The 12,065-nt window shown below is 36.0% G+C and overlaps 1 protein-coding gene across 7 annotated transcripts in view; it reads right to left on the reverse strand.

Annotated features, from left to right (window-relative positions):
• Positions 1-12,065, reverse strand: part of PRKD1 (protein kinase D1) — a 351,369-nt gene that overhangs the window by 61,857 nt on the left and 277,447 nt on the right. For all 7 annotated transcript variants that reach the window (XR_943493.3, NM_002742.3, NM_001330069.2 and 4 more), the window contains 2 exons: positions 359-569; positions 154-231 (listed from right to left, as the gene is read on the reverse strand). Coding sequence is in view for 6 of the 7 variants with exons in the window: in NM_002742.3 (NP_002733.2) it covers positions 154-231; positions 359-569 (289 nt within the window). In the remaining variant the exon portion in view is untranslated. The remainder of the gene's footprint in view (positions 1-153; positions 232-358; positions 570-12,065) is intronic.

Below are 12,065 nucleotides of genomic sequence, written 5' to 3' on the forward strand. Positions count from 1 at the left end.
TTGTAAAGTAGAACAAACACTGGCCATAATTTACTTTAGACTGTGTCTGAAATATCTGAACCAAAACCAAAACCAAAAACCCTGACTAAAATTACATCACCACACTCTCTAATATGGAAGAAGCACAGACATGACAGCTGATCTTTTACCTACCTCCATTAATGGTCACTTCGCCAAGGCAGTTGTTTGGTACTTTCGGTGCACAACGTTTATGGCAGTTGAATCTGCAATCTAATCCCAGTGATTTTCAAACAAAACAAAATGAGAATTTGTCATAAAGAAAAGTGGTAACCAGAAAATACTTATGTCAGATGAATGAGGGTGATCAAAGTTCGACAGGTGACAAAATCATCCTTACCTTTGCACTGCAAGCCCTGCCTGAAAAGCCCCTTCAGAAGCTTCTTGCAGTACTGGCACACTGTGGGCCGGGTGTAGGAGTGGATGACAAATGTGTGCGGCACTTTAACTTTAGACATCAAAATCTTGTCAAGGTGAATTGGTCGTCCAATGTATGATTGAGAATTTGACCTCTTCTCTCGACCAATAAACGACTCTGATGGTGATTTTTGCTACATTTTGGAAAACAATAAAGGAAGCAAGATGTAAGAGGCTATTTGATTTATATATTTATATATTTTAAGATACCGGTTTACTCTTGTATTTAGTACTTTGATGTTTAATAATATGAAATCATACTGTATTTCTGTTAATTAATATAATTTACTTGCCTTCCCCATTTCTATTTGAGTTACCTTGCTTGTATAATCTTAAAAAAAAAAGAGAATTGGAGATCAGAATGTTTAAACATGATTTCTAGGTCTTTCAAATAAGTTTTTGCTTTAAAAAAGTGGTTTTAATACAGAAATATAAAGTTGGAGTCAAATAAACAGTGCAAATATTATATCATTGACATTTTTTACAGGATTACATTCACATGGTTAGAAAATGCAAGCATTTATGAAAGACAGAAAATGAAAAGTAAATGCCTCCTGTTTGCCCTACATGGTACTTCATCGAAAAAATGCTGTAATCCCAGCACTTTGGGAGGCCAAGGCGGGTGGATCATTTGGTGTCAGGAGTTCAAGACCAGCCTGGCTAACATGGTGAAACCCGTCTCTACTAAAAATACAAAAATTAGCTGGGTGTGGTGGTGCTCGCCTGTAATCCCAGCTACTCGGTATGCTGAAGCAGGAGAATTGCTTGAACCTGGGAGACAGAGGTTGTGGTGAGCCAATATCGTGCCACTGCACTACAGCCTGGGTAACAAGAGTGAAACTCCATCTCAAAAAAAATAAATAAATAAATAATAAAAGAAAAAGAAAAAGAAAGAAAGAAAGAAAAAAATGCCTTACAGTTCCTTTGGATTACCTAAAGAAAAAAATAAATATGATTTTACATTTTTCCTCAGCCATACAATAAAAGATTTGTATTACTGGAAACAGAACGAATATACTATAAGAGGAATATAAAAGTGGATGTTTTGGATGTAATTTTATCTCTGTGTACTCTTGCCCATCATTTTAGAATTATTTAATCAGCCCAGTATATAGATTTTTAAAAATTAAATTAACTAAAATTAACCATGTTTTCTATGTTTTTGGATAATTTCACAGTACCTTTGATATCCTGGGATATATTTGAGAATCGTCAGAATAAATGTATTTTAGAATCATCAGAATAAGATAAACTGAATTACTTTTGAACCGTTGTTATAATTATGTATCTCATTTATATATCTTAGTTATTAAGTTCCTACTCTAGAGCAATAACTGTATTAGGTGCCTTAAAAGACAGGCCTTATTACCTACAGTTGAGGCATCTAAGCTCATAAAGTTTAAATACATACCCCTGGGTCAAATGCTAGTAAATAGTGCAGCCAAAATGTGAACCTACATTTGTTTGCCTCCAGAGCCCTTGTTTTATCACCATACTCAGTTAATTTCTAATTTTAAATGATTACTGATAAGACAGCAATAAATCACATTTACAAAAAATTTCTATCCTTTTCAATCCCTATCTGTACCAAAAGGTTAAATACTATTACCAAAAGTGAAAACTATTATTTCCAGATTCACTAGCTACAGTAAAAAGAAACTTAAAATGAAGTTCTACACAGGAATATTAGGCCTACAGTTACATTCACAATTACAATTCCATAAAGAAAAACTGTAAAGCATAATTATTCTGGAAAGGTTCAACTCTTGCAGATAAGTCTAGGGAGATTATAAAAATAGCCAAAGGTTTGCCAAACCAGAATCATGAATATATTGAATAAATACTTTCAATGGAATTAAAGAATAATTAAATCCACAGGGTAAACTCCCTGTTCCAGTGTCCTCTAGTAACTGTAGCCAATGGGCCTGTTTTAAGCATAGACTAAAATGAAAATATTTTTCCATAGTTGAAAACTTTTAACACTCAGAATAAAAGATAACCTGATGTCACACTTTGTTAGCAGATTTAACATGTTCTCAGATTTGGGAAATCCTATGAAAAGCTGGACAAATCACTGTTCAGTTACATTCCTTAATTTAAGATACCTAATTGTAGGCTGTGCTAACAGAGCCAGTTTGACATTTACTATACCATGGTGCAAATTCATTAGAAAAGCAAGAGGGAATCTAGTAAACTGAATATTTTCTTTTCATCCAACACAAACACTGCCATAAACTACAAGAACTATAATTATTTTTGAGAGGTTATTTCATTTATTACCTTCAAGGGCAAGATTATGTAAGAAATTTAAAAATATTCCAAGTTTAGGAAAAAGAAATTAGCTGTCACTCTGTAGCCCAGAGACTATACCACACACATTTTCAGGCAATAATGAGATTTACACAGCCAGCCACATGTGTCCTTGGCACAGAATATGTAATTTATAGTGTCAACTATGTAATTTATAGTGTCAGAAATTAAGATTTTAATAGCATTAATAAAGAGTGCCCTCATACCATTCATGCCATTTTAAATTTCAAAATCAGATAGCAATCCAACCAGACTTATCACTACCTTTTCTTACAGTCTGAAATATGTCATTATTTTCAATATGGCCCATATTTCTAAATGAAAAAGTAAAGCTTTACAATCTTGACACAGGGTGCATGCATAGTAACGTATTTTGTAGAAATTGATTTACTGCTGGAAGGAGACTGTTTGAGTTGTTTAATTGTACTAGATAATGAACACCTTGGGAAAGCGAGAGTGGAGAAGCTGACTGAAGTTCTGTTTTCAGTATTCAATTCTATGTTTCTGGGAGTGTATACACACACATTTGCATGTGCTTTCCCTAACATGAGGCAAATCTGAAGTGTGAAAACAAAAAAGTAAGACTGGGTCATTATCTGATGAGTCCCTAAGCGCTTATAGGGTTTTTATCCTTCCTTCAATCAAAAATGTAAAACAAGGACTTTGTTGATACATAACAGATTATTAAAAACACCAACTGGCTATGGAATAAGGCCATGACCCTGTAATATATATTTATCTATATTTATCAATATTTACCTAAATGTTTAAGAACCACCCTTTCTGTAATCCTGCCATCATCCCTTTAAAAATATTTCTTTTTTTTTTTTTTTTTTTTTTGAGATGGAGTTTCGCTCTTGTTGCCCAGGCTGCAGTGCAATGGGGCATTCTCGGCTCACTGCAGCCGCTGCCTCCCAGGTTCAAATGATTCTCCTGCCTCAGCCTCCCAAGTAGCTGGGATTATAGGCATGTGCCACCACGCCCGGCTAATTTTGTATTTTTAGTAGAGACAGGGTTTCTCCATGTTCGTCAGGCTGGTCTCGAACTCCTGACCTCAGGTGATCCACCTGCCTCGAGCCTCCCAAAGTGCTGGGATTACAGGCATGAGCCACTGCGCCTGGCCGGCAAAAGTATTTCTAATGATGTGATCACAAACTAAGACTTAAAGATTTTCAGAATCAATGACATATTTTGTCATTAATAATTAATAATCAGTTGTTATTTTAAGCAAAAATATAAAATTCCAATTATTATGTGAAGTTTTATGTGAAGGCATGTACAACATAAAGCATAATTACAGTATGTTTTTGTTTGATATATCAAGCTACAGAGCAGGCAAAAATTCAGAAATTAATAGTTTTAAAGGAAATGATACTTTTAAAAAACTCACTGATCTTTGCATTTTAAGATAATTTCAAGAGGAAACTAGATAGCAATTCGAATCATAATGCTGACAGAAATAATTGGAACTGTTTGCATGAAATGTATTATACAAAGTAAAGAGATTTCATTATATATCAAGTTTATAAGTTATAACAACTTTGTATGTTTATTATACATAAATAAAACTCAAATTCTTCATTAACTTACTACATTTTCTTGGCTTACTTGTATATTTAATTACAATGTGCACAGTACTTTAGAGTTTTAAATAACACCTTTCTTTAAAGCTAACTATAATAAAGTGAAAATTCTTCCTTACCGTCAACACTATTGAAGGTTTTACTGGGTTTATTAGGTTAACTAAATGGTGTTTAAATTAATTTTCACTCTTAGTCTCTATTCCAATTTGGCCCCATGTATTTGGTGAACCTGAAAAATCTGCAGAATGATTTTTTTTTTTTTAATGAGAAGAGGAGGGAAAGTTGAAATGCTTTGGAAAGTCTGTTTTGTTCTGCTTCATTAATATGTTCAGAGAAAAAAATGGCTCAAAACTTAAAGAGCACATTTAAAATTTCGTTTTTTATAACTATGGGCAACACATATAAGAGAATGCATTTTTTAAAATTTTATATTTTTATATTAGCCATATGTTCTATGAATTGGAGGAGTTTGGATCAACTTACAGGTGTGGATCTTTTGTAAGAATTGACATCACTGTAAAATATGGTAGTGAGATAGATGCATATAAATGATTTGATTTGGCAAATTATATATGATGACAAACATAAAGGTATTTTTTGTGTTAGAAGTGTAAGAGTTAACACATCATGCATGGGAGATAATATGAGAACGTAATGATGAAAGTTGTATTTTGAAGCCAGGAATAGAAATTAAATAAAATAAAAATTATGAAGATCAATTTTTTTAAGTTTGTGGTTTCACAAAGCATCTTTAACATTCTTACACCAAGTGTTTCATTTGAAATTACTGCCAAAGCTGGAACTCTGTGCACTGAACACCTACTCAGAGAGACAATGTATCCTGCTCTTCTAGAGACTGAATTTGTTTTTTAACCTAGTGTGCTAAATTAATGACTCAGCAAGTTTGCAACCTTCCCAGGAAATGATTGCTTAGATTACATTGTGGAAACTCCAACTGCCAGCATGTCTTTAAACATTTAATAGGACTGAAATAATTTCCCAACAAGGTATATTCCACTTAGCAGTTCACAATGAACTCTCTTCATTAGTTAAGCTAGAAAACACAGAGGAAAAGTTGCCTTTACTTGTGGTTTGTTTATTGTCACTTGCGTAAAAAATCAAACATAAAATTCTCTGAGATAAAAGTCACTTGACAATAAAAAATGGCTCAAATGAAAATGTGTGCATTATTAAAATATTTCTGTGCGTTAACTAAAATTCATTTCACAGCAATTCACTGTGTCTGGATTTGGGGAGACAAACTCCCTTTGAGTTAAAGAGAAAGAGAAAGAGAATACTTTAGCATACACGCCAACATCTCTTTATGGATTTGTCTGAATCATTTGATAATAAGCTCCTATGGAAGAACAAAGTCCGTGACAAACAGTAAGCAGTTTCACCTGAGATAAGTGTATGTTTTCAAGAAGTAAATGCATAGGATTAGTGGATGAGACGTTTCAATAGAAATATTTAATATACAGACTGTAATAAAAGATTTTTACAATTTAAAGTTACATAAACTGTTAACACTGACATACTTGCTTTACAGGATTTCAGTTTTAAGATGGGACACCTGGTTAAGGAATATTTTCCCCTGCAAATGCTCTGTACTTGTCTGCCTGCTCCTTGCCCCTACTTCAACATGAAAATCTGTGCAGAACTCTTCTGCTACCAAACTCAAACACTTAATAGGCTGTTCATATTAATGGGTGGCCCTCAGCATCAAGGATGCAATGAGGAATGGTTGAGACTATAGTAATTTGGAGAGGACAGCGTCACTGTAAAACAGATAGCTACAGCTCAATTAGTTCTAACAGCTGCCATGTGAACATGTGAACCCATTGTTGATGGATCTTTTAGTTTTTCAAAAGAAGCAGGGAATCTAGGTGTGTGATAAAATAACTTGATCTAGATGTCAGCAACTGAAAAAAAAAAAATTTAAAAACTTTGTGCCAGTCAATTTATCTGGGGACTAAATCTAGTTGAAATGGAGACCTTTGAGGTTATAAAAAGTGTTTTCTATCATTATCTAGTTCAGCCGAAGACCTTTATATATGCCAAACTATTTTCATAGCACTTTACATGGATTTCATTTATTTATACCTCATGTATAAATAAACTATACATTTTATACAACTATTTATACATTTTATACAACTATTTTCATAGCACTTTACATAAATATCATTTATTTATACCTCATGTATAAATAAACTATACATTTTATACAACTATTTATACATTTTATACAACTATTTTCATAGCACTTTACATGGATTTCATTTATTTATACCTCCATGTTACACCTAAAGAAACTGAGTTACTGAGAGATTAAATCATTTTCCCAAGATCACACAACTTGTAAGTAGCAGAACTACGAATTCAGGTAGTTTTGCTCCAGATAACAATGATTCCTTTCTCCTTAGATCCTCCCCAGCTTTCACATTCCTTGATTTTATGCTAATATAGAAAACAGTAAGTATTTTCTTCCTCTCAGTTAGTCAATAAGGACAACATAAGAGGCAATAAGACAACAAGAATAATCAAACAGTAGTGTGTTTTATGTGCCAAAAATGATATGCAGGATATCATGAACCCCTTAACCTTGACCTACAGAAGAGATTTCTAACCAGCTTGTCTGTGCTTAGATGATAGGACCTGAGTCATGCATGTTTTCCAGAACACAATAACTAGTGGAATAAACAGCTGCTATTGCATAAACATCACTCAGTTGGCTGCCTACTTTCCTATTCAGGTGTTATTATGCTTAAAAGATACTAGCATAACTATGCAAAAATAGATGCAAGCAAATGTTAATCTTTTATTCCAGAAATTTCGAGATCTAGCATTTTGGACTATCATTCAAAGAACAGTGCAGAGTAACAGCTTAAGACAGTTCTCTCCTATTGCCATCGAGATGGATCTATCTAATTTAGCAAGTGTTTCCTGGGGCAAATTTTACCTGAAAGCTCAATTCAGATGCTTCAGGACATATAAATATGAGGAAATAATTCTCTGTGCCCAATTAGTTTATTAGCCAGTAGAATCCTAGACACGCATAACTGTTATTATTGTTGACCTTTATATTTACTCTTTCCCTTTCTTCATAGATGGTTTCCTCCTTATTCTTCAGATTTCAGTTCCCATGCCCCCTTCTCTGAGAGGCCTCCTCACCACCTAACTTATTGCTTACCCCCACTCCTTACTCTATTACTGTCTCACATCATCCTGTCTCCTCCAAAGTCATTAAAGCAGCATGCAACTGTATTATTTACCTCTTATTTGTTTACTGGATTTTTACTGTCTCCCTTCAACAGAATATAGGTTTCAGGAGGGCAGCATCTTTATTATTTTGTTCATCATTGTAACACCAATTTCTGGAATACCGTGTCACAAAGAATAATTGCTGATATATACATATATGAAAGTTCAAAGGAAAGATAAACCATATTCATGGTGGAGGCGAGGGGTAATTCAGAAAGGGGGTTTCCTGAAGAAAAGACATTTGCATAGACGCCAAGGTGAGTCTTGCCATACAATGGCTATGTTGTGCATTATTAGTAATTAAAATTTTGTTTGGGTGTGGGATGGGGAGGAAGGAGGGATGGTTAATGGGTGCAAAAAAATAGCACAGTGAATAAGACCAAGTATTTGCTATCACAACAGGGTGACTACAGTTAAAAATAATTTAACTGTGTATTTTTAAATAACTAGAAGAGTATAATTGGATTGTCTGTAACACAAAGGATAAATCCTTAAAGTGAATGGATACCCCATTTACCCTGATGTGACTATTAAATACTGCATGCCTGTATGAAAATTTCTCATGTAACCCAAAAATATATATGCCTACTATGTACTCACAAAAATTAGATAGATAGATAGATAGATAGATAGATAGATAGATAAATTTTTTTCAGGACACTTCAGTCCTATCAATCTGCAAACTGTCCAGAGATTTCTTTTTTATATTTCGAAACTGTCTGTCTCACTTAGGGATGATGACCTAACCTGCTGTTAGGAAAACACAGTGGTGAATGCTCAGTCCGAGGCTACTTTCTGAAGCAAAAAACAAACAAACAAAAAACGAAAAAAAAAAAAACCCACACAGTCATCTGCAACAACACTACATGAATATATTACCTCTCACACAGGAGTGGGGATTTTCCAGCACAGAGCTCTTTGACAACAGAAAAATATGAAAACCCTTGAGAAATGGAGTTCATATAGGAACGCACATGTTTCCAGGCTCTATAATTCAGGCAGTAGAGAGTAGGGTGTTTGCTGAGTTTCAGGTTGTTTGGTGGTATTCAGATTCTCTATTCCTTGAGCTAACTGTCAAATATCCTAAATATATAGCATAAATAAAATCTAATCAACACCTTTTCACAACAGTGAAACGGTGGCTACAGGGCAAGCAAAAAAAAAATATGTGCCCACTGCTTAGTGGTGACAGATACTGTGTTATACCATGGAGAATCCATTTCTTAAATGTTTACAGCAATTTGTGAAAGCTTTCAAAGTAATAACATATATAATCTCTTACTAAAATACAAGGTGATCTGGATTTGCTGAGTGCTAAAGTAATCGTGGAAGTTACATTAACTTTTATATTGCCTCACTATTTTCAAGTAAACCAAAATGAAGGGTAAAGGAACCGTGATATTTTCTTAAGTGATCTACCCATTGCAGGGAAAGCACCAGAACTGTTCAAAAATTGTTGCAAATTACATGTACATTTCCACCGAAGAAGAAAATAACTGCATGTCAACAACTTCCATTTTGGGACTTTAAGTGTCAGAAAGTGAAATGGAGGGTAAACACATTATGTGGGAAAACCAAGGACAGTAATTTTAGAGGTAAATATTCCCATAGTATTTGACCTTGCCTGAATAGACTAGGACCTGGCCTGGGTTTATGGTCTCACTGGAAAGCTGAATGAAATAGTCTGAAAAGAGACTGTGACACTGATTACTACTGCCTTGGAGACACCAAGCAGCTGGGAAAGTATGACATAAACACAGTCCTAGGCCACAAAGGTGAGAGCCTCTCCCTTCAAAAATGGCCCATAAGGATAACTTTATAGTGTTGCAGGAAATAAGGGGCCGGAGAGACCAAATAGGGGTGCAGGAGAGTTAATTTAAGGTGTACACTGGCTTAGCAGACGTGTCCTGAAAGACTGAGCACCGGACAAAGAAAACAGATGCCTTTTAAGCAGTTTATGGTGGGAACTAAGTGTTGCAGGAATCAGGCTTACAGAAGCCAGAACAAAAGCAGTTAATCATTAGGTAACATTCGTGAGATTCAGCTTACATCTTGGGAAAAACATGTCCTATAACTTATGCTCATCTATTTTGTGACCCTGCAGCTGCACAGCAAGAAGAAAAACAGAAACTTAGAGACCTTACAAAATATGTGGGAAAGAGATAAGGTTAATTAATGTCTTACAGTTTCTACAGAAAGGCAGTTAACATTCTTTTTTAACTTTTACTTCAAGGGGGTTCACCAATGCCTTACAGCTAAACTTTTATGATTTTTTTCTATTTCACAAGGACAATCAATTCTTTAACTTTTCTACTTCAATCCCCCCTTTGGTGCTCTGTATAAATGATGTTTAATAAAGAGCACCACAATTTTTTTTTTTTTTTGAGTGGCTACACATTTTTTTTGAGGCAAGGCCTGGTACTTGGTTAAGGCCATGATTTGAGTAGTAGTATGCTTTGTTACCATTGCCTCTACAGTTGACTGGATACTTTTGATTAATAGAGGCAGGAGGCAAGGGAGAATTAGACATCTTTTAACTATAAAGCTTTTTATTAGAGTCTTTAAATTATTGAAAGATGACAACCATTCACTAAAAAGTGAATCTGGGGACTATTTTTTCCAGGTTTGAACTGGGACATGAGCAAGTTTAGCCATTTTCCCTGGGCCTGCCTTATAAATGCTGTGTTTACCATGTGCTGGCCTCACAAAGTCTTTTATAAAACTGGCTGGGGCTTCTGTTTTTTTGACAGGGAGTCTCGCTCTGTTGCCCAGGCTAGAGTGCAGTGGTGCGATCTCGGCTCACTGCCAGCTCTGCCTCCTGGGTTCATGCCATTCTCCTACCTCAGCCTCCTGAGTAGCTGGGACTACAGGCACTCACCACCATGCCCAGCTAATTTTTTGTATTTTTAGTAGAGACGGGGTTTCACCGTGTTAGCCAGGATGGTCTCGATTTCCTGACCTCGTGATCCGCCCGCCTTGGCCTCCCAAAGTGCTGGGATTACAGGCGTGAGCCACCATGCCCGGCCTGGCTGGGGCTTTTATCTGCACCCTGAAGCACCTTTGAGATTTTTTTTATATTGATTGCTTTTATTTTTGCCATTTTTAAAACTTCACAGGGGTATCTTTTGGTATCTCTGCAGCTGCTGTAGTTGGGCTGCCTTATTTGGGTCCCAGTGGGGGTCCTTTTGTTCCTTGAGTTTTGTATGACTCTGGCATGGCCAGACTTGAGATGGCCTGCCTGATTTTTTTAGCCATTTATTTTAATTTCTTGCAGTTTTGATTGTTTTTTCACAGGTGATACTGGAGGCGTGTATTTATTTGAGCTTTACTTTTTAGAGGCAGGTAGCCTTGGTAAAGGGGGATAAATTGGATTGTAAGGAGGAGGGGTCTTTATTCCCTCCAGTGGTTCTTGCAAAACCAGTTTTTCCTGTGGCTTTCCTTTTGTCTCTGTGTTTGCTGATGAAGTTTTTATTTGTGGTTTGGTTTTTGTTACAAGTTTTTCTAATTTTTTTTTTTTAATTTTGTGTTTACTGGTGAAGTTTTTACTTTGTGTTTGTAGTTGCTAGTGTAGTTGATTTTTTTTTGGCTCGAGCTGCGAGAGTTTGTAATAAGCTGTTAAACAGGGCTGTATTTAGCTATGAGTTAATAAAAGGAAATTTGGTTTGAATGTCTAGACTGTTTTTTGACTTTGGTTATTACCTTAAATACATGGCTAATTGTTTTTTGTTTTTATTTATAGCGCCTTTGGCTGGCCCTTCAACATTAAAAGAGGGTTATTTTAATTCATACAGGGTTTTCAGCATTTGAGGGGTTAACTTGACTTTTTGATTTCCCATAAAGCCTTTTTTAAAGTTTTTTAATATACATTCCAATGGAGTGGGTTTTGACGATTTTCCTCCCATTTCCTCCCAGTAACGACACAGCACATTCACTTTTCCTTTCTTTTTAGACCAATTAGACCTGGTTGGCCTTACGCTTTGCTTAGAGCATACAGCCTCTACTAAGAGACCTGTAGCCTTCTGTATGTCACTCCTCACGTTGCTTCCTTCTGGAACAGTCTTTATCACACACACTCATACACTTCCCTGCTTCCAGCTCCCTTTCCTGGTTGGGGTAGCGAGCCACTCTCGCCACTTCCAGTTTCCTAGTTGGGGTGGTGAGCCACTCTCGCCACCTCCGGTTTTCTTTTCCGAGCTGACTTAGCGAGCCACTCTCGTGTCCTGTCTCTGTTGGGGTGTGAGTTTCATTCAAATCAATGAGCCACTCTTGTTGTCCCCAGCCCCTCTGGGTCAGATTAGTTGTCACTCCCCTGGAGGTGATCAGGCTTCCCTTCTGTCCTTAGGGATGGGTCCTGCCTCAGGGCCCAAACCTTACCACGGTTCAGATGTCTGTGCAGTGCTCCTGATGCCATCCAGGAATCCCCTTTACTGGTTCCGTTGCACTGTCTGGAAGGGCACCGGGACATGGGAGGGC

The sequence above is a fragment of the Homo sapiens genome, chromosome 14 (genome assembly GCF_000001405.40).
Source record: "Homo sapiens chromosome 14, GRCh38.p14 Primary Assembly".
NCBI lineage: Eukaryota > Metazoa > Chordata > Mammalia > Primates > Hominidae > Homo > Homo sapiens.